The 27914-nt window shown below is 48.9% G+C and overlaps 1 protein-coding gene across 4 annotated transcripts, besides 4 other annotated features; it reads left to right on the top strand.

The window, feature by feature from the left end:
- Positions 1163-23844, top strand: MYO1A (myosin IA). Of its 4 annotated transcripts, none has more exons than XM_047428876.1 (29): positions 1163-1216; positions 2255-2474; positions 4018-4151; positions 4257-4372; positions 4640-4734; positions 4954-5058; positions 5254-5300; positions 5435-5498; positions 5711-5809; positions 8152-8255; positions 8358-8505; positions 9003-9121; positions 9203-9289; positions 10864-10929; positions 11073-11177; positions 13087-13149; positions 13352-13552; positions 13723-13949; positions 14292-14492; positions 14720-14813; positions 15270-15419; positions 15521-15589; positions 15980-16054; positions 21187-21321; positions 22045-22151; positions 22489-22621; positions 22774-22926; positions 23102-23229; positions 23480-23844. In XM_047428876.1, exons 3-29 carry the CDS (start codon positions 4038-4040, stop codon positions 23604-23606), a joined length of 3132 nt encoding a protein of 1043 aa, XP_047284832.1. In that variant the 5' UTR covers positions 1163-1216; positions 2255-2474; positions 4018-4037; the 3' UTR covers positions 23607-23844. The 4 variants fall into 4 exon arrangements, with proteins under 4 accessions (XP_047284832.1, NP_001242970.1, NP_005370.1 ...); NM_001256041.2 differs by having other exon boundaries at positions 1163-1643; NM_005379.4 differs by lacking the exon at positions 1163-1216 and having other exon boundaries at positions 2232-2474.
- Positions 4311-5510: an enhancer, noted in NCBI's record as "BRD4-independent group 4 enhancer chr12:57440635-57441834 (GRCh37/hg19 assembly coordinates)". NCBI's record gives its function as "activates an origin of replication core promoter dependent on BRD2, P300/CBP, MED14 and CDK7 cofactors, and independent of BRD4, by STARR-seq in HCT116 cells {active_cell/tissue: HCT116}" and the evidence as "EXISTENCE:reporter gene assay evidence [ECO:0000049][PMID:35650434]".
- Positions 20715-20894: an enhancer, noted in NCBI's record as "active region_6521". NCBI's record gives its function as "activates an Ori minimal core promoter by ATAC-STARR-seq in GM12878 lymphoblastoid cells {active_cell/tissue: GM12878}" and the evidence as "EXISTENCE:reporter gene assay evidence [ECO:0000049][PMID:35858748]".
- Positions 20955-21044: an enhancer, noted in NCBI's record as "active region_6520". NCBI's record gives its function as "activates an Ori minimal core promoter by ATAC-STARR-seq in GM12878 lymphoblastoid cells {active_cell/tissue: GM12878}" and the evidence as "EXISTENCE:reporter gene assay evidence [ECO:0000049][PMID:35858748]".
- Positions 22086-22923: an enhancer, noted in NCBI's record as "H3K4me1 hESC enhancer chr12:57423222-57424059 (GRCh37/hg19 assembly coordinates)". NCBI's record gives its function as "activates a minimal SCP1, AML or CMV promoter by ChIP-STARR-seq in naive H9 embryonic stem cells {active_cell/tissue: H9 hESC(naive)}" and the evidence as "EXISTENCE:reporter gene assay evidence [ECO:0000049][PMID:30033119]".

Here is a 27914-nt window from a genome sequence, read left to right as displayed (position 1 = left end):
CACTGCAACCTCCACCACCCGGGTTCAAGCGATTCTCCTGCCTTAGTCTCCTGAGTAGCTGGGATTACAGGCACCCGCCACCATGCCCGGGCTAATCTTTTTTGTATTTTTAGTAGAGACGGGGTTTCACCATGTTGGCCAGGCTGGTTTCGAGCTCTTGGCCTGAAGTGATCGGCCCGGCTCAGCCTCTCAAAGTGTTAGGATTACAGGCGTGAGCCACTGCACCCAGCCTAGAATTTTTTTTTTTTTTTTGCCAGTTTTATTGAAGTACGATTTACATAACAATATAATTTGCCAGTTTTAAGTGTACAAATTTGCTGAGTTTTGACAAATGGAGACAGTTGTATAACCACTACCACAATCAGGATATAGACCATTTCTGTAACCCCAAAAAGTTCCCTCTTGCCCCTTCCATGGTCTAGAAATGTTAATGGGGGAAAAAGGAAGGTGATTTAGGAGTCAAAGTAGAGGAAGACTAATACGCTCTGGTTGCTTCAGTTTTGCCTAGAAAGCAGGAGATTAGAAAATCCCAGCTGACTTGGATGTGTATTTCATATCTTGTTAATTTAGGCTGACCCACTGGCTCCAGTTTGCCTGGGACTTTCCTAGTTTTAACACTCAAATTCCCATGTCCAGAGAACCCCACTGTGTCCCACAGGCGGATCAGTACAGTTGGTTGCCCTAGCTGTGATGTTCATGTCATTGTTCTTACACCTGAGAGTGCCATCTCATTTTAGAGTCACTTTTCTCGTGAGTAAGCACATAGTAGGCACTCAGTTGACTGAATGGGTGGACATGCAGGTAAACCCCAGATGGCTGCAGATTCCTGGCCTAGAGAACATGAGACTTGGGTTTTGGTGCCAGCTCTGCCAGGTTTGCAGTGGTGTGACCCTGGAAAAGTGGTTTTCTCACTCTAGATCTGTTTCCTCCACTGGTAAATAGGTGATATTTGTCACTTCTGCCTCTAGGACATGGATACTGCTCCACCTACACATAGCATTATGTTTTGATGTCACTTCCACTCAGCTTTCTCTCTTTTCCTTGCCCCCCTCCACCTTCAAATATATGTAGTAGATCAATAAATTATGTAAAGGCAGGTTGATAATAGAACTGCTGATGTGCCAGGCTTACGCAGAGTGCTTCTGTGAGAGCCATAGAGTTTGGACCTTGCACCAAGCAGCCATAGCTGAGAGTTGGAGAATCAAGTCTCTCTTCAGTTAAGTGTCTATAATTACCTAATTTGTTCTTTCTGCATGCCTGGGAGAGAGGATGGTAGGCAGAGGGGGCTTGCTGTTTTTAGGAATTTTCCTGGCTGGATGAAGGGGTACTTCTTATCTATCAGAGGGAGCTATTACATTAGCTCAGGGTCTTACTCAGTATCCTAGTGCTGACGAATTAAAATTAGAAACTTCAGAACTTGGGCTGCAACTTTTGGCAAACTTAGGGAGCTGCATTCTGTTCCTGGTTCTGCCATGCACTAGCATGGAACTGTGGGCACATTGTGTAACCTCTCTGAGTCTGGTGTTTGTTCCTAGTTTTCCATTTTAATGGAGTATCTGTATTGCCTTCCTCGGGGTGGTGCTATTCAGTGAGGCAATGCAAGGGGGAGTTCAATGAAACTGGGACATCTATACACATGTGAGGTATTATTACTAATCACTTTAATCTTTGGGTCTCTATGATAGGGTCTGATTCATGGGGGAAGGGAAGTGGAGAAGAATTTGGGGATTTTGTCTGCTTAGCTCTCCAAGTAATCTCATTAACATCCCCTGACTCCCGATAAGATAGGAAGAGTAGGTATGAGGGAGGTACTGTTTTTTTGCTAGGAAGACACTCTTTGTAAAGACGTGTCTCGCCATGTTGCCTAGGCTGGTCTCGAACTCCTGGGCTCAAGTGATCCTCCCGCCTTGGCCTCCCAAAGTGCTGGGAGTATAGGCATGAGCAACCGCACTTGGCCCTACCTGTCCTTGACAAAATTCCTGACTTCTCTTTGGGAAATATTTTCCTTGGCTATAAATTCCATTCTTCCAGCTTTCATTTCCAAATTTGGGAGACAATGGAGCAAGAACCCTCCTTTAGTTAAGCCTCTCAGCTAACGCCAGCCAGATACCCTTTCCTACCTAGAGGGAGCTTGAGTGTCTCCCTCTGGGGCTTCAGGCCTGTGAAGGGTTAAGTGAGCCACACCCTCAGCAGGAACAGTCTGGACTTTGTGCTGATCAGCCATCTCCGGCCTCTCCTGGTTTGACTGGCACAGGGAGCCTGGGCTGGAAGAGGCAGCAAAAGGGAAAATCAGAAGAGTGGACACTGGCAAGAGGAGGGCAGCCTTTTTCCCAGCTTCCTTGCACCATGGACAGCTCCCATTAAGCCACCTCTCCATCCTGGGGCCAGGACTCTTATGCCCCATTCCTGTCAAATTGAGATTTCATCCACCATTCTCCAAGGACAGTGAAGTTATACCCTAGTTCCAGTGTTGGGTGAGTCCTGCCTTGACCTGTCACTGCTTCTCTTTAACACCTTGGGGCGCCCCATCTGGGGCCTCTTGCCTTTTTCCCTTCCCCACCCTCAACCAGTCACATTCCCACTCCCTTCAAATCCAAATCCAAAGAAGATGACTGCTCCCAACCCACCTTCTGCTTCTCACCCTTCCCTGCCAAGTTAGTTAAAAGACTTAGCTTTTTGTAAAATCTAGAAAATACAAAAATAGTATCTACTTCATGGGGATATTGTAAGCACTAAATGAATTAGTGTATGTACAGTGCTTAGAGCCCTGCCCAGTTCGTGGTAAACGCTGCATGATTCCTAGAGACTGCTATTATTGATATTCTTATTGCTTCCTCAGTTGTGTCCTTCTGGTAAGTGACAAGTGCTCTCTTTTCCTAGAGCTTGGGGAAAGCCAAGTGAAGGGAGAAGGAAGCCTGTGCCCCTTCTTGCCCCACTTCCGTTCCTCCTTCCTCCGCTCCTCCACCCGGGTTCAGAGATGCAATAGCATAGGAGGATGTGTCTCTTTCATTCCTGTTCAGGAGTGGCCTTGACCATTGTACTAATAATCCTGTCCTGTGCCTGGCCACTCTGCCTACTCAGTCTCACAGGAAAGACTGAGGAGGGCCAGGTTTCCTCCTTAGGGAACACCTGCCATGTGCCTACTGCATGGGGGCCAAGCCCCACCACCCTCCCTGTAGTTCCAACTGTGCTCCTCCTTGCCCACTCCCGCAAGAAGCTAGGTGTGTCCCTCTGGGGCAAAGTCCATGCCAGAAGTTTACAGGAGTGGGTGTAAAAGCTAGAGATGGAAAAATAGAGACAGACATGTAGCACATCCAGAGGTCCTGACAACTGCCTGTTTGTTGGGGAAGCAAACCCCACTTTCATTTTCTTTGGGAAATTCCAATCTCTTATGGAGGAATCCTGCCTCTATCCTCTATAATTCTGCCTTGTCAAGTTCCCATTTTAAAAATGAAGCTCACTGTAGCAATGACAGGGAAGGAGAGACCTTTGGAAGAACTTCTGAAATGGTTATGGGTAGGTTGGGTGTCTTTAATAGGGGCTGTGAGAGGTAAGGTGTTGAGAAGAAGCACTGGGGGTAGATGGGGAGTCTGGACCCTGGCCAGGGCCCATTGTAGGAGAGAGAGGGCTTTCTGTACCTGGCGGCAGCACAAGTCTTTGCTTACACTTTCCTCCTCAGCCCTCTCTCCTTCAGTCACAACTCTGCTCCCCCAGTTGTAGCCCACTGGGTGCCTGCCTTCCCCTGGTGGTCAGAGGAAGGTGTTCCTGTTCCACCCCTGCCCCACCCCCACCAACTGTAACCCAGGCAGCAGAGGATCTCCCCCACCTCCTGCTGAGAGTTTCAGCCTCCCTATTAGCTTGGGCTGGTCCAGAGGCCTCTCCTAGGTTGGGGGCTCTCTTTAGGGCCAGGGTAGGAAGAGAGGAAGGCTCTTTTGGTCCTTCTGCCATCCTCCCCTCAAACAGTTACTGGCCCCTAAAGCTGAGTGGACATCAGCAAACTGTGCCTCTTATTCCCAGGATCAGTGGCCCCTCTGGACATGCCTCTCCTGGAAGGTTCTGTGGGGGTGGAGGATCTTGTCCTCCTGGAACCCTTGGTGGAGGAGTCACTGCTCAAGAATCTTCAGCTTCGCTATGAAAACAAGGAGATTTATGTGAGTGTCATATGGGTGCCTCTGGCTGTGGATATGTGGCTGGAGAGGTCACAGGCTCCCACCTCACCCTCAAGCTCATTCCCTTCACCTTCTTCCTGGCTCCAGACCTACATTGGGAATGTGGTGATCTCAGTGAATCCCTATCAACAGCTTCCCATCTATGGGCCAGAGTTCATTGCCAAATATCAAGACTATACTTTCTATGAGCTGAAGCCCCATATGTGAGTAGGGGGACCAAGGGAAGGCTGACAGGGCCCCAGCTTCTTGACACTGAGTCATCCTAATTTCCTTTGTCCCTTCCCCTGAAGGGGCTTCTCCAGCTGCCCCTTCCTTCCCTGGCCTTCTGGAGGCCCCTTCCAAGGCCTGTCACATCTTGCCCAGTCTGCTCCAAGTAGAGAGAGTGGATGAACCTGCGTGCTGGAGATTGAGTGAAAGATGGTGTCTTGAACTGGTTTCACAATAGTCATTGCCCACTTCCTCCCCACAAGCTACGCATTGGCAAATGTGGCGTACCAGTCACTGAGGGACAGGGACCGAGACCAGTGTATCCTCATCACAGGCGAGAGTGGATCAGGGAAGACTGGTGAGGCCCCTGGCTGGGGGAACACATGGAGTCACCTCTGGAACTGCTTCCTTGTCTCTTTGCAAGCCAGACCTAGACCTGACCCTCCACCCCACAGAACTTCCTTTCCACTTTTTCTGACTCCAAGGGGTGGTGAGGCACTGGGGTGAAGCAAGTTAAGGAGGTGGGGGGATGGGCTAGTCCTGGGTGGGGACCCATGAGAGCGTTTTGCCTGCACAGAGGCCAGCAAGCTGGTGATGTCTTATGTGGCTGCCGTCTGTGGGAAAGGAGAGCAGGTGAACTCTGTGAAGGAGCAGCTGCTACAGTCTAACCCAGTGCTGGAGGGTGAGAATTCTGCTCTCTGCCCTCTCCACCCTCCATCTAACCCCCAGAATCACTGAGCCCTAGACCCTCTTCCCCAGTGCTGCAAAATCACCTCTCTTGTTCGACCCAGAAAAATCTGAGATTGTCATGAGGACTGGAAGCCCTTCCTCCTTTCCCTTCTCTAGAGTTTCACTTCTCCCCTCCTCATCTCTGTAGCTTTTGGCAATGCCAAGACCATTCGCAACAACAATTCCTCCCGATTTGTGAGTAAATGTCTCCCCACCTGGGAAGAGAGGATGTGGGGGCTTAAGAGGGAGGAATGTGGCACAGACCCCTTCCAGGCAGGGTGGTGAGAAGAGGAAGAAGCTAAGTCTCTCTCTCTGGTCTCTCTCTGAAGGGAAAATACATGGATATTGAATTTGACTTCAAGGGATCCCCCCTCGGTGGTGTCATCACAAACTGTACGTGTCTCCCCAATTCCACTCACCTGTCTTCCACCTGCCTCCCATGGCCCTTTCTGCTAATCTGTTCCTGTAGAAAGGCAGAATGTTAGACGTCAAGGAGACTTCCCAACCACTAGGAATGCCGGCGATGGGGGCATTCTCCAGTAGGGCTGGAGAAGCTACGGCATCTCCCAGGCCCTCAGGATATTATTTTTCTAATTCTCTGCCAGATCTGCTTGAGAAATCCCGATTAGTGAAGCAGCTCAAAGGAGAAAGGAACTTCCACATCTTCTATCAGCTGCTGGCTGGAGCAGATGAACAGCTGCTGAGTATGTGCCTGCATGGGGAAAGTGTCCTCATGAGTGACACATGGCAAAGTCCCCAACCTCCATTCAGTCCCAGAACCCCTGTTCCCTCTGGGCCCCTACAGCCCTCTTCCCTTGAGCCTCCCAGATTTTCCTTGCTGCATTTCCCATTCTCAGCCTCACCCACTCATTGTTGGGAACAAATTCCTTTACCCCTGTGTTCTCTTCCTTTTCTGGGGTTTTATTGCCAGGGATATGCCTTCTTGCCTCTTCACTGTTCTCGTTCCTCTTTCCTGCCTGGGTTCTGCTTTCCCTGAGCTGGCTTCAAATATAAAACACTTATATCCATCTACTTTCCTTCCTACCTTCAACTTAAGGGGATTTAATTAAAGCAGGGAAGCAGGCAGAATGTTGTAAGTGTTCAGGAACTTTCAGTGAACTCTAGTTGAAGCTGTCCTGGGTCTACATCTGCCTTACCTAGGACCCTGTTCCTGATTTTCTTTTCATTCATTCATTCACTCATTCATTTATTCATTCATTCAACATCTCTTGAACACCTATGATCAAATATTATGCTAGCCTCTAGGGATACAGAGTTGAGTAAGACATGACCCTGTCCTCGAAGAACTTATAGTCTTCTAGGGATAAGAGGTGTGTGAGCAGATCCATTGTAATATTGTGTGATCGGGGCCATCAGGCCTGTGCAGCTGGCTATAAGAGCAGAAGACCTAGAGCCCCTTGGCTTGGCCTGGGGAAGGGTCCATCACAGCCTGGATGCTGGACTGGCCTGAAGTGGCTCTGGGTGGGCATCACTGGAGTGTCTGGTGGACTTTAAGCCCTACTGGAGTTTGCCTCCCAATCTCCTCTCTGGCTGTGAGCACCGTGGGTGTCTGGCCCCTAAGAATGTCTCTTTGGTTTCTGGTGATTCTATGATAGACCTGTGCTATCTCCTTTTCCACTCTTGGAGATCTCTGTGATCTTCAGGAACCCCTGCAGATCTCATGCTCTTTCCTGGCTTAATAGTTTTGGTTATGTTCAACTTGTCTGCATCATGGGCATTAGTGTCTTGTTCTGGTTGGTCTGTCATCTATTGGTTTAAATCAACTCTAGATGAGGTCTCCCAGGTATCATCATCCCCAGACATTCTGACTCATTCTCCCTCCAGATACCCTCCTTAGCAGGCCCTTGTTTCAAACTTTGTGTGCTGGGGGAGCTGCCATTAGACTATAGTTTGAGGGATACTCCCTGATTCTCAGATCATTTGCATACCAGATAATTGACATCCCTCAAACTCCATGATTAACCGAATCCCTCCCATCCTAGGGAAACAGCTTTGATCATTCACTTGATTCATTTATTAAAAAGAGAAAATTTCCTGCATGCCAGAAAGGCACACAGAATATGGAGATGAGAAACACAGTCCCAACCCACAAGTTGCTCATTTATGGGAGAGACAGAAAAAAACAAAACCTAGCCCATATGATATGGGCTGGGATATAGATTCACCAGTGGGGAATGCAAGACAGCCATTTGGCTCAGGCCCTCAGCATCAGAGAAAACTTTTCAGAAGAGGTGTCAGGGTCAGGGAACATGCTACCTGCCACTTTATTGGTGTTTGGTGTTCAAACAATGAATGAGCAACCCACGCCAAGAGTTGAGGCTGGGGGCAGGCAGGAGATATGCGCTTACCCTTCTCCCCTTACCTTCACCGTCCAGAGGCACCTGCGTAGGATGGAAGGGTTGCTTGTTTATTTTTATTGTTTAGAACCCTGAGGGTAGGGAGAAGAGTAAAATGAGGGTTTTGTTTCATAAAAGTTGGGGGAAAACCCAATCAATATGAGCATCAAAACCCTAAACACTACTTAAAAGTATACTTAAAAATTTAGTCTGTTAGGCCGAGTGACTCATGCCTGTAATCCCAGCACTTTGAGAGGCCGAGGCGGGTGGATTGCTTGAGTGCAGGAGTCAAGACCAGCCTGGCCAACATAGAGAAACCCCATCTCTACTAAAAATACCAAAATTAGCCAGGCGTGGTGGCATGCACCCATAGTCCCAGCTACACAGGAGGCTGAGGCATGAGAATCACTTGAACCTGGGAGGTGGTGCTTGCAGTGAGCTGAGATCGCACCACTGCCCTCCAGCCTGTGTGACAGAGTGAGACCCTGTCTCAACAACAACAAAAATTAGTCTATCATCACAGGAATTAATGATCCCAAAACAAAGGAGGCAGGGGAAGAACCCAAAACAAAAATGACTCCTTTGGATAAGTGAATGAATCCATTAGGGCAAGGGCTGTGAGGTGTCAAGGCTGGAGGGCTCCAGAGAGCCTGGGTACTAACCATCTTCCCCAACACTGGCCCTCCCAGAGGCCCTGAAGCTTGAGCGGGATACAACTGGCTATGCCTATCTGAATCATGAAGTATCCAGAGTGGATGGCATGGACGACGCCTCCAGCTTCAGGGCTGTACAGGTGGGTGCCCAGGGTGAGGCAGGCTTGGGCCCTTAGGTCATCCTCTATTCGCATTGGACTGGCACCAACAGTTCAGCTTTTGATTTCTGCTTTCTGCCTAAGAGTGCAATGGCAGTGATTGGGTTCTCGGAGGAGGAGATTCGACAAGTGCTAGAGGTGACATCCATGGTGCTAAAGCTGGGGAACGTGTTGGTGGCTGATGAGTTCCAGGCCAGTGGGATACCAGCAAGTGGCATCCGTGATGGGAGAGGTCTGCATCCCAGCCTGCTGGAGCTCCTACCCAGACCCTGAATTTCCTACTACAAGTCGTGTCCTTCTACCATCTCTAGCATAATTGATCTCACCCTGATGCAGTCCCACTCAGCCCACTCCTGAGTTCTCCCCTAAACAGACTCACTGAGAACTCCCGATGAAGCATATTGGAATGAGCTTTTGAAATTTGATATATCTAGGTCTGGAAATTCTCTGAGTCTGAGTTGATTCTTCTGCAGAATGGGGATAATCACACCTAATTCAGGAGATTCTCATATTAAAGTAGATGATACATGCAAAATGCCCAGATCCCCTTTCTTCTGTCCCCCAACTCCCTGAGATTCCTCCAGGGCCATGTTCTGGGTTGGCTGCAATGACTTCTCCAGTGAGACCCCAGGACACCAGTGTCTCAGGCAGTTTCACTTATCAGATTGCACTCCCTCCCCTGAGAGAAAGCTGCCTCTAAGGACATGCTGTACTTTCTCATTATCCCAGGTGTTCGGGAGATTGGGGAGATGGTGGGCTTGAATTCAGAAGAAGTAGAGAGAGCTTTGTGCTCGAGGACCATGGAAACAGCCAAGGAAAAGGTGGTCACTGCACTGAATGTTATGCAGGTAAGGAGCTCACTGGAGTGGAGGGGGCTGTTTCGACCCTGTTCTGTGATGCCACCCTAATCAGCTGTGCCTCACCCACAGGCTCAGTATGCTCGGGACGCCCTGGCTAAGAACATCTACAGCCGCCTCTTTGACTGGATAGTGAATCGAATCAATGAGAGCATCAAGGCAAGTGGCCGCTCTGCTTTCTCCATGCTCTCCTGTCTGCCTCACCTTCCTGCCCTGTCACCAGCCCTATATCTTGGTTTCTGAGATGAGCAGAGTAGGGAGGATGATGGGGAGGGTACAGTTCCTTCTAACAGTGTGTTGTCATGGAAACATCACTGGCTTTTGAGTTAGACAATCTGGATATATCATCTACTTACTTAATTCAAAGTCATGTGGACTTTCAATTAAGTAAAAAGTCATGTGGACTTTCAATTTCACAAAGGTTCTGGGCCTCAGTGTCCTGATTTGGAAATGCCCACTAAGAAACACTAATATGCTGGGTGTGGTGGTCCATGCCTGTAATCCCAGGACTTTGGGAGGCTGAGGTGGGAGGATCACTTGAGCTCAGTAGTTCAAGACCAGTCTGGGCAATATAGTGAGACCCCAACTCTATATTTTATGAAAAAAAATAAGTTAAATAAAAAACTATTTAAGAAACACTAATGCATTCCTACCTGCTTCACAGGGTTTAATAAGGATCAGATAAATTATGTAAATAGTTACCATATGATACCACAATTCCCACTCCTAGGTATATACCCAAGAGAACTGAAATTAGATGTCCTCACTAAAATTTGTGCACAAATGTTCACAGAAGCCTTATTTGTAATAGCCAAAAAGTAGAAACAGCCCAAATGTCCATCAACTGATGAAGAGATAAACAAAATGTGGTATATCTGTACAAAAGAATGTTATTTGTCCATAAAAAGAATGAAGTACTGATACATGCTTCAAGATTGATGAGCCTGGAAAACATTATGCTGAGTGAAAGAAGGTAGTCACAAAAGACCACATTTTGTTTGATTCCATTCATATGAAATGTCCACAATAGGCAAATTCATAGAGATGGGAAGTAGATCAATGAATGCCAAGGGCTGGGGGGAGAGGGGTATGGGGAGTGACTAATAATGGGTATAGGATTTCTTTTGTGGGGTGGTGAAAATGTTCTGAAATTAGATAGTGGTGATGGTTGTACAACCTTTTGAATATACTAAAAAGCCACTGAATTGTACATGGTATGTGAATTATATTCAGTAAAGCTGTTATTAACAAATTATCCACATGGAAGTGCCATCTATTTAGAAGCTATTACTGAAAGGTAGTAGAATAAGAAGGAATTTGAGTCTAGGCTTGGTAAGTACCTATCCTTCTGAAATTTGACTTTGTTATCTGTAAAATGGGAACAATAATACCTTATAAGGTTATGATAAATAAAGACATGGAATCTTTTGTAAAATGCTCTACAAATATAAGAGATGGTTATTGTCCTGAGAGGTTTTATTGTCTTTCTACCTGGTACCATCGGAGCACCATCCTGGAATCTATCTGTATCTTCCTTTTCCTCCTTTCCTCCCTCTTTGCTTGTTCTCTAGTGTGTGGAGGAGGGAGAGTAAAATCACAACAATTCCTTTCCAGTTTGGCAAAGCTCTTGCTAGTTCTGTTTGCCCCCTACTCCAACCCCATCCGCTCCAGAAGGACCTGGCCTGGTGTGCAGAGGGGGCCTGTCCTCAGATTTATCTTTCTCTCCTCTTCAGGTGGGCATCGGGGAAAAGAAGAAGGTAATGGGAGTCCTTGATATCTACGGTTTTGAGATATTAGAGGTGAGAGTGCCTCACCTCAGCACCCTGCTCCCCTAGGATTAGAGGTGGACAGGCTCACAGGGGGGATGTGAGGGAGGGGAGGTAGGACTGAGACGGAGAAACAGTCTTGGAGTGAGCTCTCTAACCTGTGCTCCCTCTCTCAGGATAATAGCTTTGAGCAATTTGTGATCAACTACTGCAATGAGAAGCTGCAGCAGGTGTTCATAGAGATGACCCTGAAAGAAGAGCAAGAGGAATATAAGAGAGAAGTAAACCAAGTCTTTTCTACTTCCCCCTCTTAAACAACTTCTAGGCATATGCCAGAGCTTCCTTTCTCCTTGATCACAATTTCCTCTACATCGTCCCCAGATGTGAACACAGAGGACAAAATGTTTCCCTTGCATAGTAGATCATTCCAGCATTACCAAGTAGCCCTAATCCTCTGCTCTCCATTCTTCATTTCCCTGGCCTCCCAGGGTACATGTGTGGAAAGTCCTGACAAGAGGGAAGTGACAGCTGTGCTTGGCCTATGGCAGACTGTGAGCCAAATATAAAAAGGACATTTCTTCTGGGTTTGGCCCAACCACATCTCTTTCTATGCCCTTCTCTAACATCTCAGAGTCCTTGGTCTCCCCCGGGCCCTAGCTAGAGTTGCTGTCCTTTCTTGTAACACCATGATCCCAGACTTCCTCACCAGAAGTACCCCATGGCTCCAATTTCTATGGCTAAGTGTTAGAAAAGCTCTCTGATTGAGCTCATTACCTTCAAAGTGTGAATGGCTGAGAGTCTCACTCATCAAAACCCTCCCAGGGATGTTCCCTTGTGAGCTCTCAGGAATAGGTTATAACAGAATTTCAGGCAATGTGGTCACAATGTGTGAAAAAGTTTTTTTAGTTGTTTTGTATGTTTTAATTTTAACGATTTAAATGATCAGATACATAATACATTCCCATGCTTCAAAATTCAAAAAGCTTAGAAAGTATATAAGGAAAGTTTCCCTCCTACTTCTGCCCCTAGCCTCCTAGTTCTCCTCCCCACCCAGAGGCAACCAACATGGGCTTCCTTCCAGAAGTCCTTACGCATATGCAAGCAAATTTGTAAATATATTTCCCCACAAAATCTATACAAATGGCAGTAAATACACTCTGTTCTGTACCTTATTGTCATCACGTAACGAGATCTTTCCATGTCAGTATGTAAGGATGCTTTTTTACAGCAACACAGTATTTTAAGAATATCATAATTCCTTTAACTGGTTGGGGAAGGTATTTGGGGGATGAAGTGGGAGGCAACTTAATTTAATTTTGTTTTCTTTAAAGACCTGTGATAGAGGGAGGAAAGAAAGACCTATGCTTCCCAGCCATACCTGAGAATGTCCCAGCCTGGAGCGTCTGACCCTTGGGTGGGATCAGGAGCTATCCTGTCTGTAGGCCTGATGCCCAGCAAGTCCCCAAAGTAGAGAACGATTATCTTTGGGTCTTCTGCTTTTGTACCATTCTTGCTTTTCAAAACATTATATAGTCTCAAAGTCTCATGTAGATAAAGTGGTTCCTAAAGGGTAGTCCTGGACCAGCAGTATCAAAATCACCTGGAAACATGTTGGAAATGCAGATTCCAGGCCCACATCCCAGACCTGTTGAATCAGAAACTTGGGGAGTGGGACCCAGAAATCTGTATTTTAACAGCCCTCCAGGTGGTTGTGCTGCACACTCAAATTTGAGAATCACTGATGTAGATCTTTGAAGATGTATCAAATTAGCCTTGTTGTTTGATGATAAACTCTCACGTGCTGTGGTTTTATAGAGCACAGAGTAGTGTGGCCGCTGTTGCACATACGCATGGATCCTTCCCCACTCCCACACAGGAAATCTCTATCCTAATCTTCACTCAACATGTTACACTTCCCTCTCCACCCTACACCACCTACAGGGATCTCTGCATTGTCTCACCCTCTCTCACAGCTGCTCCAATTCCTTCCGTGTGTCTGTCTACCCACCCCACAAATTCTCCACCAACCTTGGAGGGATGGGGACATAAATAGAAATCATACCAAGGACCCCTGTGAACTATGGGGCTTTCTGATGTCCTTTGTTGGGTGGGTGAAAGGCTAGATCTGGTGAGGTCTCTGGAGGCTTGTCTTGGACGTGTTCCCTGTAATTTGTTGTCTCCCCTGACCAGGGCATACCGTGGACAAAGGTGGACTACTTTGATAATGGCATCATTTGTAAGCTCATTGAGCATGTGAGTTGTCATTCTCTTATCTGTGGGACTTCCCCTTCCAGACTGCCTGAACATCCTTCCCCTGTCTCTCTCCCTGATTCCCCACTTGGTAGGGACAGTAAAGAGGGCAGAAGATAAGAGTGGAGAAAGGGGGCAGCAATGAGAACGTGGACATCTCGGAGGACCAGATTTAGGTTGGGCTTCTTTTGTTCCCCCGGCCCAGAATCAGCGAGGTATCCTGGCCATGTTGGATGAGGAGTGCCTGCGGCCTGGGGTGGTCAGTGACTCCACTTTCCTAGCAAAGCTGAACCAGCTCTTCTCCAAGCATGGCCACTACGAGAGCAAAGTCACCCAGAATGCCCAGCGTCAGTATGACCACACCATGGGCCTCAGCTGCTTCCGCATCTGCCACTATGCGGGCAAGGTGAAATGGCAGGGCTGGAGGGCAGAGATTAGGGCTCAGGCCCAGACTGAAGTCAATGGGGGAGGAACCCGGGGAAGGTGAGAGTCTGGAATACTTCACAATGAGACTGGGAGGGCCAAGTGCTGGGACAAGGTTGTGGGGTCTCCAAACCAATAGCTGCTCCTTTACAGGTGACATACAACGTGACCAGCTTTATTGACAAGAATAATGACCTACTCTTCCGAGACCTGTTGCAGGCCATGTGGAAGGCCCAGCACCCCCTCCTTCGGTCCTTGTTTCCTGAGGGCAATCCTAAGCAGGCATCTCTCAAACGCCCCCCGACTGCTGGGGCCCAGTTCAAGAGTTCTGTGGCCATCCTCATGAAGAATCTGTATTCCAAGAGCCCCAACTACATCAGGTGACATGCTGGCATGCAGGGGAACATGCTACATATGTGATGGCACGTGCAGGGTCCATGCGCTGTAGAACACGTCCATGTGGGGGTGCTTCTGGAATAAGGATGTCAGAGGTCCTTTCCTCACAGAAAACAGTCAGATAAGGAGCTGAGAGTCCCACAGGGGGAGAGCATCAGATTCGATAGGGAATACATAGAAGTGAGTGAAACTGGGGAGGCCAGTGTGTCTACTTTCTTTGAAACTTTTCAGTGAAGTGCACCGTGTGCAGCATAGGGGAATATGATGGGTTACACTGGCAATGATGTCAGCTCCTGAAGGCTGTGCCTTACCCCACCTCCCACCAGGTGCATAAAGCCCAATGAGCATCAGCAGCGAGGTCAGTTCTCTTCAGACCTGGTGGCAACCCAGGCTCGGTACCTGGGACTGCTGGAGAACGTACGGGTGCGACGGGCAGGCTATGCCCACCGCCAGGGTTATGGGCCCTTCCTGGAAAGGTACCGATTGCTGAGCCGGAGCACCTGGCCTCACTGGAATGGGGGAGACCGGTAAGACCCCATGGGGAGACTGGGCATCAGGAAAGGGCAGTGCAGGAAACATCTCTGGGGGAAGAGACCTGGAGGTGCAGTGCACATCTGCTGAAGCTGGGTGAATGGATACTTTGAGAAATGAATTGAATGATCACTTCTTGGAGGCTGAAAGGATTAGGGGAAAGGTGGAAGAGGACTTTCTCCTGAGATACCCCTCTGCAGCTTTCTGTCATTTGCTTCCATAGGGAAGGTGTTGAGAAGGTCCTGGGGGAGCTGAGCATGTCCTCGGGGGAGCTGGCCTTTGGCAAGACAAAGATCTTCATTAGAAGCCCCAAGACTGTGAGTTAGAGAGTGCATTAGCATTTGGTGAGGGTAGAAGGTGGAAGAGCCCACCTGAGAAAGGCTGGAGGGGGAGGGAGCGTGTATAACCTGGAATGGATCACTGTCCAGTGGATGGGAAGCTTCCTGTCTGCAGGAACCGTATCCCTGGGAATTGAACTCTTGGGTTCCTACACTGCCCTGAGCCTGGGGAGCTTGGTGCTGCATGGCTCTAAGTGCCTTTGCCTGAGGCAGAGCCCTTGAGGGTTGGGGTGATCAACTTCTAGCTTACTGCCTGCTACAAAGTTAGAGTTAAGTAGATACTTGTTTACTGAATGAATAAATGAGCAAACTAAGAAGACAAAGGAATGATCAAATAAGGCCTGGCTGGGAAGCCTCAGTACTGTGGGGTATAGGAGAGGACAGCACTGTTCCCCTGAGCCAGTCTCTCTGTCACCCCCTTCCACCTCTCCACAGCTTTTCTACCTCGAAGAACAGAGGCGCCTGAGACTCCAGCAGCTGGCCACACTCATACAGAAGATTTACCGAGGCTGGCGCTGCCGCACCCACTACCAACTGATGCGAAAGAGTCAGATCCTCATCTCCTCTTGGTTTCGGGGAAACATGGTACGGTCATCCCCAAAGTCCCACTCTGTTCACTCTAATAGGGAAGATGGAAGGTGGCTCAGGAGGTGCCATTTTTCTAACAACTCCTATGTTTTCTACAGCAAAAGAAATGCTATGGGAAGATAAAGGCATCCGTGTTATTGATCCAGGCTTTTGTGAGAGGGTGGAAGGTAATGGAGAGTGGAAGAGAGGTTTCCTCACATTGTTTCTCCTGGATTGTGTCACCTGCTGGCTAGAGCAGCAGAGAGCTAGTCCTGCCTGCACCCAGGCCGCACCTCTGTGTATCAGCCGGTCCATGTGTGGGTGGGTGTCTGGGAGTGAGAGGCCTGTAGGGGAGACCTGTAGAGGTGTCTGGGTGGGTAGATGCCTAACTTGGCAGCAGAACTTTGCCTTCTGCTCTAAGTGTCCTCACTGCCAACTTGTCTGATTTTACTTCCAACTTCCAGCTACAGTCTCAGCTCTTTATCTTACTCAGGTCTTTGCGTGGTTGAAAAATAGTACAACCTCTTCTAGAATCTGCCTATCTTCACTTTGGCTCCTTTCTTGTACTTTTCTGCCAGGCCCGAAAGAATTATCGCAAATATTTCCGGTCAGAGGCTGCCCTCACCTTGGCAGATTTCATCTACAAGAGCATGGTAAGTGGTAGGGGTTAGGGTGGATGTTAGGGATGGAGCAGGGAGGCACAGGTTTGGGAGAGGGGTTTGAGAAGAGGCAACCCAAAGCTTTCCCCCAAGAGTTTCCTCAGTCTGCATGTACTTAAGTCCTAGGAGAAGAGGGCAGCTACCTGCAGGGACCAGGCCCCAGTGCCTTGGACTCGGGGGCAGAATCAGATAGCATTTTGGCATGAGTGGACAATCCAGGCAACCTTGTGGCAGGAAGGGGTCTCAGCACACCCACCATCTGGTCTATGGTCAAATAGCCTTGTGAAGATCCTGGGGCTGGATGTTTAACAACTGTTGAAGAGGCTAAGCCTCATTGAAGAGTAGAGTGATCCACACATTAACTAGCTCAACCTCCCAAGATCCATTTTAGGGTTGGGGTGAGAGTAGGCGAATTGTATCTTCCTTCTACTTCCTCTGAAACTATTGTCAGCAAGTCAGAAAGTAAATCTCAGGAAGGACCTATCCTAATTCTGGAGGACGTGGGTCAGGCTGGATGGGAAGACCCACCTGGAAGGCCTACATATTCAAACTTACAGACAGCTCCCAGGGGGAGAAAAACAGGGACAGAGAAGAGTAACTTCTGGAGACTTCAGTCAGATAGCAATAGTGCTTCTGAGAAGTGTCAGGGAGGAAACCAGGGAGGGAGAAGCACTTCCAATGAAACCTTGGGAAAGGCCAGAGAGAAGGAGGAAGAGCATGGGATCTTGGACAGAGGCTGGAGCAAATTGGTAATTGACCTCCGCTGATTGGGTTTTTGACCATAGTTAGGACCCTGACTGTGCTCATTCAGACATAAGACATGTTTGCTTGCAGCCCCTCTTTGTTGTTTGAGAGTCTGGATCCCTCAGCTCAAGAGAGGAATGGGGGCTCTGAAGCTCTGGACCTCTTTTTTGCCTTCCTGAGCCTTCATTTGCTCGTCCTCTTCCCCTTCCCAGGGAAGTTCCATCTTCCAGGTCTCTTCAGTTGCCTGATCACCTCTTGTGCTGGTGCCAGAGTGTCTGCCTTCCCACCATACATGCTTCTTGCTACACACCTGAGACCTGTAATCTGATTTTGCTGTTATCTCCTGACTGCCCTTCTTCTTCCTTTTCTTTCATCTGTGTATTGTCAGGCAGCTACTAATTGTCAACCCAGAAGCTGCTGGGTTTAGACCAGGGTCTCAATAAATCACACCCCCACAGAAGCCTGCGGGCACTGGGCACTGATTCCCCCAGTGTTTCTGAGTATTCCAGTTTGCCACTGCCTTGACTGTAACTAATGCTAGTATCCATTCTCATTTTTTTAATTTTTATTTATTTATTTATTTATTTTTTGAGACAGAGTTTCACTCTTGTCACCCAGGCTGGAGTACAATGGCGCGATCTCAGCTCACTGCAACCTCCGCCTCCCAGGTTCAAGTGATTATCCTGCCTCAGCCTCCTGAGCTGGGATTACAGGCATGCGCCACCATGCCCAGCTAATTTTTGTATTTTTAGTAGAGACAGAGTTTCACCATGTTGGCCAGGCTGGTCTTGAACTCCTGACCTCAAGTGACCCGCCCATCTCGGCCTCCCAAAGTGCTAGGATTACAGGTGTGAGCCACTGCGCCCAGCCTATTTCTTTTTTGAGATGGAATCTTGCTCTCTCGCCCAGGCTGGAATGCAGCAAGCATGATCTCGGCTCACTGCAACCTCCATCTCCCGGGCTCAAGCCATCCTTCAGCCTCGGCCTTCCCAGTAGCTGAGACCACAGGCACATGCCACCACGCCTGGCTAATTTTTTATATTTTTGGTAAAGATGTGGTTTCACCATGTTGCCCAGGCTGGTCTCAAACTCCTGAGCTCAAGTGATTCACTCGCCTTGGCCTCCCAAAGTGCTAGGATTACAGGTGTGAGCCACTGCACCCGGCCTTACCCATTATCTTTTGAACATCTACTATGCATTAAGCTCTTTACATGCATTAACTCTAATACTTTCAATAACCCTGTGAGGTAGGCTCTTTTCTTTCTCCCATTTTGTAGTTAAAAAGCCAAGGCTCAGAGAGGTTAAATAACTTGCCGGGGGTTCCACAGCTGTAAGTGGTAAAGCTGGGTTACAAACTATTTGACTCTAGAGCTTTTAACCACTGCCTAAGACTGCCCCTCATCAATAGAGGCTTGGGCAACCCATGGCCCTAGGCAGACCTGGGGGCAGGAGGGCTGCATAGGAAAGGGCAGAACTTTCTAGTTCTAGAACAAACAATAAAAAGAAGAAAGCCTTCAGAGGCTCCACATTAATTGGAACAAAGGGGATTATGACAGATGCTTAGGCATGTTTGTTGAATTATTAATAAATAAAATCAGACTAGGGACTGGGGACTCCAGTCTTGGAGGCCTTCACAGGCCCAGATCCCAAACCCACCAAACCCACTAGACCTGCAGTGGAAGCTACAATGAGCTTGGATAGTTCCTGCAGTTAACAGCAATATACTATGTATTCTGCCTCTTTCTATTTAAATTTTTTAACCTGATATCTTAGTAAAACTTTTTCATAAAAATTCCAGACATTTGGAAGTGCCAAAAATCAAGTCATTTTTTATATCTTCAGTAATTCTGTGCCATAAACAAACAGGTTGCTAGGTGCTCTATGGGATGTAAAACCTTGGCCAGGCAAGGTGACTCACTCCTGTAATCCTAGCACTTTGGGAGGCTGAGGCGGGAATATTGCTTGAGCCCAGGAATTTGTGACCAGTCTGGGCAACATAGTGAGACCTAGACTCTACAAAAAAAATTTAAAAATTAGGTGGGTGTGGTGGCTCATACCTGTAGTCCCAGCTACTTGGAAGGCTGAGGTGGGAGGATCGCTTGAGCCCAGGAGGCGGGCAAGGCTGCAGTGAGCTGTGATGGTGGCACTGCACTCCAGCCTGGGCGACAGAGCAAAACCCTGTCTCAAAAAAAGAGGCAAAAACAAAAACTTAAGAATCCTTGTTCTAGATTGGGGCAGACTAAAGAGTCAGTTGCCATGGATGAAGCTTGATTGGATCCTGGAAAAGGAAAAATAAAGCTTCAAAGGACATGTTTAGAAGTTTATAAAGGACATGTAGAGAAATCTGAGAGTGGATCGCTGTTGGATTAGTGATGTTGATTTTCTTAGGTGTGGTGATGGAGTTATGATTGTGTAAGAGAATGTTCCAGTTCTTGGGAGAGGCATGCTGACATTTTAGGGTAAAATGTCATGATATCTATAACCTACTTTAGGATGGTAGGGTAGCAAGGATTTGTGTAAATGTGTATATGCATGTATTTATATGCACACATATGTGTGTGTGTCAGAGCACACAGATAGTGCAAGGTGTTAACATTATCAGTTGGTGCATTTAGATGAGGAACATACAGTATACAGATGTTAATTGTATCTTTTTTCAACTTTTCTGTAAGTTAAAAAAACTTTCAAAATAATAAGCTATATTGAATTTTTAAAACATCATATTATGCTATTCTTCTGTATAAATTCTCCAATGGTGTTCCATTTCACTCCTTACCACAGCCTACAAGGCCCATCATGATCTGCCCCGACCTACTCTCTGATCCTCTCTCTTCCTGCTCAAGTGATTCTGGCCACCCTTTTTTTTTCTTCTTTTTTAGACAGTCTTGCTCTGTCACCCAAGCTGGAGTGCAGTGGTGCGATCTTGGCTCACTGCAACCTCCACCTCCCGGGTTCAAGCGATTCTCCTGTCTCAACCTCTAGAGTAGCTGGGATTACAGGCATGCGCCACCATGCCCAGCTAATTTTTGCTCACCCTGGCTTTTTAATGTCTCTGGAATATGCTGCCACTCATTCCTGCCTCAGGGTCTACTTCTTTGCATCACAGCAGATGCCATTATCTGACATCACACTATATATTTATTTGCTTGTGTAGTTGGTCCCCTTCTCCACCCTACAGTAGAATGTAAGTCCAGTGAAAATGAAGACTTTGTTCACTGTTATGTCCCAGTACCTAGAACAGTTCCAGGCACTAAGTAGACACTCAATAAATGTTGACTAGTGAAAAAAAATGTGAGACCTGGGATCCTGCCTTATAAGGACTCAGTGTCTAGAAAAGGGAGCTGTTTTCCATGCAAATAACTGTAGTACAAAGACGAGTGTAGGCAAATTGCTATGGGGCTTCAAAGAAAGGAGAGGCAATCCGGGGCTTGGGGAATCAGGGAGGGCTTTGAGCTGATCTCCCAGGTTGGCAGAGTTGAGTCAAGAGAGCATCGAGAGCTAAGGCACACAGTGATCATGCATGGGCTGGGTAGGGGCATGGGAAAGAGTCCTGTCCGGGTGGTGTGCCCAGGGAATGCAGGGGTCCTGCGACATGAGGCTGGGCTCTTAAGTGTCAGGGAGGAAACCCAGGAGAGAAAAGCACTTCCAGTGAAACCCTGGGAAAGGCCAGAGAGAAGGAGGAAGAGCATGGGATCTTGGACAGAGGCTGGAGCAAATTGTAACTGACCTCCGCTGATTGGATTTTTGACCGTGGTTAGGACCCTGACTATTGCTCATTCAGACATGAGACACATTTGCTTACAGCCTCTCTTTGTTGTTCGAGGGTCTGGATCCCTCAGCTTAAGAGAGGAATGGGGGCTCTGAAGCTCTGGGCCTCTTCATTGTCTCCCTGAATTCATTTGCTCTTTCTCCTTTGCTCCTTTATTTGCTCCTTCTTCCTTTGAATGGAGGCTGACATGTTTGGACTTGACTGATTTGAGAGGAGGGGAAATTTGGTACCTAGCCAACAGCTGACACAGACAGTGGCTGCCACCTGTAGGCAATTGTGAACAGAAGGAATAGAAAGCTACAGGAGCAAAACTTTGAGACCAGCTTTCATATTGGTTCCTCTTACCTCACTGCCCTGGGTAGCAGGTCTTTGGTTGGAACTAATCGTTCTCTCCCTCCAGTCTCCTATTCATGCTCTTACCTCCCGGCCTCAAGCCTGCACCTCTTGCTGAAAAAGATCCAAGAGGTGACTCCCTTCCATCTCTTCAGCTCCACCCCTTGCTTCTCACTGTGGGTTAACTTCCTCCTTTGAAGTGGCAGGATCTGGGTGCCAGTTTGCCTGTCAGGAAGTGTTTCTTATCACTCCACTCCCAATCCCCCTGGTCCCAAACTAGGTACAGAAATTCCTACTGGGGCTGAAGAACAATTTGCCATCCACAAACGTCTTAGACAAGACATGGCCAGCCGCCCCCTACAAGTGCCTCAGCACAGCAAATCAGGAGCTGCAGCAGCTCTTCTACCAGTGGAAGGCAAGTGGAGCCCAGGCACCCCTCCTCTCATTTCGTCTTTTTTTTCCCTCCCCCTGATTTTCCTCTTTTGCCTCCCTCTTCTATTTTTTTCCCATTAAAAAAATTGTGGTAAAATATACATAACATACAATCTACCATTTTAACGGTGTTTAAGTGTATAGTTCAGTGGCATGAGCGACATTCATGTTGTTCTGCAGCCATCACTGCCATCCATCTCCATATGCGTTTTTCATCACCCCAAACTGAAACTCTGTACCCATTAAGCAATAACCCCCTATTCTCCCATTCCCCTAGCCCCTGATATCTTATAATCTACTTTCTGTTTCTATGAATTTCACTTTTCCAAGTGCCTCATATAAGTGGGAATCATATTTGTCCTTTTGTGTCTGGCTTATTTCACTTAGCATAAAGTAATTTGTTCTTTTATTCAGGAAATGCTTATTGAGCACCTGTCTGGGACTAAGCCTTGCCCTGAGAGCTGAGCATAGAGCCCTCCTGGTGCTTTTATTTGATGGTGTCCATTCCCTCCCCTAGCCTCCCTCAGTTCTCGCACTCCTCCTCAATGGTCCTCCAGCCCCGGCCTCTCCCTGAGGTGTCTAGTGCCTGTCCTTTTTCCTCAGTCTCTCTCCTCTCCTAGTGTCTTCTAGTCAATATTTCTCACCTCCCTCCCCAGCCCTGCCCTCCCACTCTATGATTTTAGCTCCTGTCCCTCCTTCCTCACAGTGCAAGAGGTTCCGGGATCAGCTGTCCCCGAAGCAGGTAGAGATCCTGAGGGAAAAGCTCTGTGCCAGTGAACTGTTCAAGGGCAAGAAGGCTTCATATCCCCAGAGGTGAGGGCCTCCCAGACCCTGCACAGCCAGTTCCATCACGCAGCAGTTCTCAAACTTGAGCGTGCCTTAGAATCACCTGGCAGGATTGTCACCCCCAGGTGCTGTGTCCCTCCTCAGAGTCTCTGATCCAGCAGGTCTTGGGGTGAGGACCAAAATTTGCCTTTCTAACAACTCCCCAGGTGGTGCTGATGTCTTGGTCCTGGACTGTGCTCTGTGGACACTGACAGAGGATACGTGGATGTGGGGGAAGGGCCCGGGAGGACTAGGATGGGAACTCTGGGGGTGGGGAAGAGGCCTCTGGGCCTTGTCGCGCTGCACACCTCCCATGTGTTCTCAGTGTCCCCATTCCATTCTGTGGTGACTACATTGGGCTGCAAGGGAACCCCAAGCTGCAGAAGCTGAAAGGCGGGGAGGAGGGGCCTGTTCTGATGGCAGAGGCCGTGAAGAAGGTCAATCGTGGCAATGGCAAGGTAAGGGCCTGCAGGCTGAACTCCTCCCGCAGCTAGTGCAGAGCTGTGGGCTGGCATCTGGAGAGCAGATGGCAGGCTGTGTTTGCGCCCTGCCAGGTGGAGTGGGGGCAATTAATCCTGCCTTTCCTCACCCTTGCCTGTTCCGTCCCTAGACTTCTTCTCGGATTCTCCTCCTGACCAAGGGCCATGTGATTCTCACAGACACCAAGAAGTCCCAGGCCAAAATTGTCATTGGGCTAGACAATGTGGCTGGGGTGTCAGTCACCAGCCTCAAGGATGGGCTCTTTAGCTTGCATCTGAGTGAGGTATCAGAGCTGGGTGGGGCAAGCCTTGGACTGGAGAAGGTGGTATGCATCCCAGGGCTGGGGCAGGCTGGAGGTGATGGGGACCAGACCTTTCGCTCTGGGCCTTTGATGTCCCTCAGGTGCTCCTGAAGAGAAAAAATGAATCCCTTTCCTGCTATTTTTCCCTCTTCCTAAGATGTCATCGGTGGGCTCCAAGGGGGACTTCCTGCTGGTCAGCGAGCATGTGATTGAACTGCTGACCAAAATGTACCGGGCTGTGCTGGATGCCACGCAGAGGCAGCTTACAGTCACCGTGACTGAGAAGTGAGGCCATGAACTGGGGGTGAGGGGCGGCTTACGGTAGATGGCCAGGCTGATGGTCATCGTGACCAGGATCAGAAAGCGAAGCATGTAGGGCAGTGCAGGCCGGGGCTTGGAGGTGTTTCTCAGGCCCCCACCCAGGTTCTCTGGGGCCTCAAGTCCTCTGACTCGCATGATGGGGGGGCCATCATGGAAATGCGGGAGTCGGGGTGAGGGGATGGGCACTAGACTTGGTTTTCTGTTCCCTCTCCAGGTTCTCAGTGAGGTTCAAGGAGAACAGTGTGGCTGTCAAGGTCGTCCAGGGCCCTGCAGGTGGTGACAACAGCAAGCTACGCTACAAAAAAAAGGGGAGTCATTGCTTGGAGGTGACTGTGCAGTGAGGAGGGGGCACCATGCAGAGATGGCAGTTGCTTCCTCCTGAACCAGCACTAATCCCCCTCTGCCCTCCTGTGTGGGAGGATCTCTAACCCCTCTGATCGTGGCGCATGGCTTGGGGATTAAACTACCCTTGAAGAGGACCCTTGTCCCAAACCCTTCTTGTTCTCTCCTCCAAAAGTAGCTTCCTCCAACCCGCAGCCTCTCTGCACACTAATAAAACATGTGGCTTGGAAAGGTTCAGTCAGGGTGGGTGGGTCCTTGTTCCCCCTATCTTTTCACCCAGGTGTACTTAGACCCCTGCCCCCATGCCCTTTTTCCTCCTCAAGCTCCTTGGAGCCAGCTAGTGAGGTAATAAGAAAGGAAAAGAAGGAAAATTGTCTCCGGGCTCCTTGACCGGCTGAGCTCTGGGGGGGTGTTTAGAGAGACTGCGGTGGGTGGAGGGGCTGCGGGGGGAGTTAAGGATGGGGCTCAGGTCGCAGGTGGCCAGTGGACTGATTCATTAAGTGTGTCCCTGGAGGAAAGAAGTGAGCATCCCTGTCTTGGCAGAAACTGGGGTCCTTTGGCGATTTAGCCTGAAAAGCAGCCCAAGGCTGGAGGGCTTATGTATGCTGGGGTGCTGGGGAATGCAGGGTCTCCTGTACTTGGGAACGCCATCACCCCTTCTACTCCCACACACAGCACAGGGCTCCATCACACCAGCCTCCCCGACACCCCCTTCCTTCTCACACACCCGAGATGCCAAACTGCTGCCAACAGTTATCTTGCTCGTCTCTGTCCCACAGCTGGGGCCTGCAGCAGGTGGCACTTCACATCACTCACTTGATGAGGCTCCCTCATCAAGACCCTCCCATCCCTGTAACCTGGCCCTTTCCTCTCCTCTTCCTTTATTTTTCCTGCGTCATTGTCATTATCTTTTTCTCACCCTCCCAACTATCTCACACCATCTCATTGTCCCTGTTTCTGTGAGCTCTGACTAATATCAATATGTAATATTTTGTAAAATGCTTTAAATATTTTCCTACTCCCCCTCATATCTATTTTCTCATAGATTCTGTCTTGTCTGTCTTGTCTCTACCTTCTGTCTGGCCTCTACCTTTGGGGAACAAGCTGCTCATGTAGTCACAGTAAAATTTAGATCTGTGGTCTGTGAGAGCTTAGCAGGGTCTGCCTTTGTTTTTGTCTCTGGCTGTCTCTTCCTCTTCTCAAGATCTCTACCTTGCCTACCTCTTCCCGCTTCCTTCCCTTAACTCACTATGCCTTGGGGCTGGGGTCTCCCTCCACCTGACTTCCATCTGCAGGCAGCTCACGGCCGGCTATCATGCTGGCCAGGGAGAACTGATTAACTTCTCTTCCTGCCTGCAGATTAATCTGCTGTCTGAGCACAAGCCACGTGCTTCTGGCACACCCTGCTTTGAGCTGAGATAGAACCTGGGGAATCATCTGTTTTCAGGCGGGTGAGGGGCTAGAGCCTGCCTTGTTTGGGAGGAGGGTGGCTCTGTTCAGAATAGGGGTAGCTCAGGCTCTGGCCAGCCTTCTCCCGCCCCCAACAGCTCCCCCCATCCTTGACTTCTCAGAATCAGGCCGAGAAGAGCCTATCTGGCCGAGAGTGGGGTGGTGACCTGCGCCTCATCGCCCCCGCTCTCCATCTCATCTCCTGCTCCCAGGGCCCAAATTGTCGTCACTTTCCCAGTGAAGTGTCTGGTCATTTTCAGAAGCAATTTCAGGAGAACATGCAGCTGCCGCTCCCTATCCTGCATTTCCCTTCACAGGGCTGAAGGCACTGTCAGCTCCCTGGGCTGGGGGTGATGGGAGAGGGGAAGGGCTAGGGCCCTCACCCCTGTCCTCACTGTGCCCATCATGTAGATGGACTGGAGTTCAAGGAAGGGCAGGCACTCCCCTCCTCCTTTACTCTTCTGTCACTCTCTTCCTCCTCTTCTTTCCTGTCTCTGCCTCTCTTTTCTGGAGCCTAGGAGTGTGTGTTTTCATCCCCTGAAACAAATAGGGACTCAGTTTCCCCACCTGTGTTACAGGGTTGGAATTGGCTCCATCACTGTGGGAGAAGCTGGAGTTCTGCTACCAGTCCTCCCCTCCCCAGCCCTGCCTCTTCTCTCCCAGCCCTCTCCCTTCAGCCAGTTCAGCGCTCTGAGAGTCTGGGTTGTTTCAGCCTCTGAGGGGCACAAGCCATCCTGGATTCCCCTAACCCCATGAGGAGCCATTCTAGCATCTCACAGCTTAAACCAGCTCTAGCTCAGTCCTCCTGGCTTAGTCCATTTTTCTTCCTCAGGCTCTGAGGGCCTCTTGTTCCTTGCTCTGTGGGGTTTTCTCCAGTTGTCTCCTGGCTGCAGGACATGGCAGGACATAGAATGCTGTCATCCTTCCACTCTTCATTGGCATCTCCACCCAGTGTCACATATGACCCTAGCCCTGCTCTCCCCTTGCCAGTACCCCTCTGGGATTTTGCGAGAGTCCACAAGTTGTGCATGTGGTGGATATATTCAGGCCATCTTGTGTGTACAAGCTAGAGGGTCTGCTTCCACCTCTGGCCCTCAGTGAATTGCTGACTAACCTGTCTCAACACAGCACAACTGTACACACCTTTTCCTGGCCTCATCCCTAACCCATCATAGCAGCAAAGAGGGGAAGTTGCAGGGGAGGAGCTGCTAAGGACCCTGGACTCCAAGTACCCTGCTCCTCTAGGCCAGGGACATCATCTGAGATGTGGCTCAAATAAAGGGTGGGTGTTCAAGAAAAAACACTTGGGGACTCTATAGCTGCAACACCCACTTTACATGTCATTTCCATATGATTTGTAGGCAAAATGAAGCCCAGGCTGTCCTAGCCCTCCAATACCTCCCTCTCTCATCACCTCTCCAACATAGCCTAGCATTAGCTCTTTCAAGTCTTTGCTAATCCCAGAGATCAAGGGGTGATCAACTCTCCCTGCCATCCCCTTGTTCCCCGCACCCCCCGCCCCGGCTCCCCCACCATCCTTGGCTCCTGCCATCCTCTTTGAGATGCTGCATCATCAAAGGACATTATTTATGGTGTACCTTTGCTGAAGCCCTGCTTCCCTGGTGCCAGGGCTTGGGAGCAGGGATGGGTGGGTTGGTGGGGGAGAGGGGTGGATGCAGAGATTGGACCCAGGAGGCTTTTAGTCCTCAGCTCTTGGCTTAACACCTCCTCCTCTTACACACCCAACTCCCTCCAGCCTGCCCAGCTTGGGCCTTCAGCTCCAGATTGGTGGGGTTAGGAGAGGAGGAGGAGGGAGATGGATGGAACCAATTAGGAACAGCACCTGGGCTCCTCACAGGAATGAACCAGTCATGCCATTTGCATGTAAACAGCTTCCCACTTCTCTCCTCATCCTACCAAATGCTCCCAACCCTGGGTTCTGGCCCATGTTCTTTGCCCACACAGCCCTGTAATTAGCTGGGTAATGAGAAGCTTTTAATGAGTCCCATTAGCATCTCGTGTAATAAAGAGGCCTTGAGACCCAGCTGCTGTCCTCACTTTGGGATGAACACGGGTCCCTGTGTAGCCAGTGACTTCTGTCAGTACAGTCTAAGTTCTCGGATGGGGTGGGAGACAAACATTTCAGGACCCCAGCAGCACTTGAGAGGTTCCATGGTGGATCCATGTTTTTGACTGTGATACAAGAAACTTGGCTCTGGCTTCCTTGTTCATTTTGTAAATAACATTTTTTCTTCTTTTAAGAGACAGAGTCTTACTTTGTTGCCCAGGCTGGAGTGTAGCAATGCAATTATAGCTCACTGCAGCCTCAACCTCCTGGGCTCAAGTGATCCTCCTGCCTCAGCCTCTGGGATAGCTGGGGCCACAGGCATGCACCACCATGCCTGGCTAATTTTTAAAAATGTTTTTGTAGAGATGGGGTCTTACTTGCTATGTTGCTCAGACTGGTCTCGAACTTCTGGCTTCAAGCAATTCTCCCACCTCGCCCTCCTAAAGTGCTGGGAGTATGGGCATGAGCCACCATGTCCAGCCTTGTAAATACATTTTTATTGAGCACCTATTATATGTCAAACATTATAAAGTGAGGGATACAGTAGCAAACAAAACAGACAAAAATTTTTGCCATCATGACACTTATATTCCTGGGTGGGAGTGGTGATAGAAAGACAATAAGTAAAATACTTAGCATAGTGGATGTAATAAGTTCATGAAGGGAAAAATGGGAGTGAGGTATATGGAATTTTGGGGTGGTGATAATTTTAAATAGGGTGATTGGGGAATGCTTTGTTGCACAGATTGTTTTTGTAGTAAATATGAGATAAAGATACGGTTCTCTCCCA

Source organism: Homo sapiens, chromosome 12, assembly GCF_000001405.40.
Source record: "Homo sapiens chromosome 12, GRCh38.p14 Primary Assembly".
In the NCBI taxonomy this organism is placed as follows: Eukaryota; Metazoa; Chordata; class Mammalia; order Primates; family Hominidae; genus Homo; species Homo sapiens.
The sequence above is the reverse complement of the archived record's forward strand: the minus strand, read 5'-3'. Positions and strand labels throughout refer to the sequence as shown.

What these genes read in the sequence shown, in the direction of transcription:
- MYO1A (XM_047428876.1), top strand. Translation starts at nt 4,038, where the DNA reads ATGCCTCTCCTGGAAGGTTCTGTGGGGGTGGAGGATCTTGTCCTCCTG. An exon ending in TCATTAGAAGCCCCAAGACT is followed by an intron (nt 14,814 to 15,269) that starts GTGAGTTAGAGA and finishes ACCTCTCCACAG; the next exon opens with CTTTTCTACCTCGAAGAACA. An exon ending in TTAGCTTGCATCTGAGTGAG is followed by an intron (nt 22,927 to 23,101) that starts GTATCAGAGCTG and finishes CCTCTTCCTAAG; the next exon opens with ATGTCATCGGTGGGCTCCAA.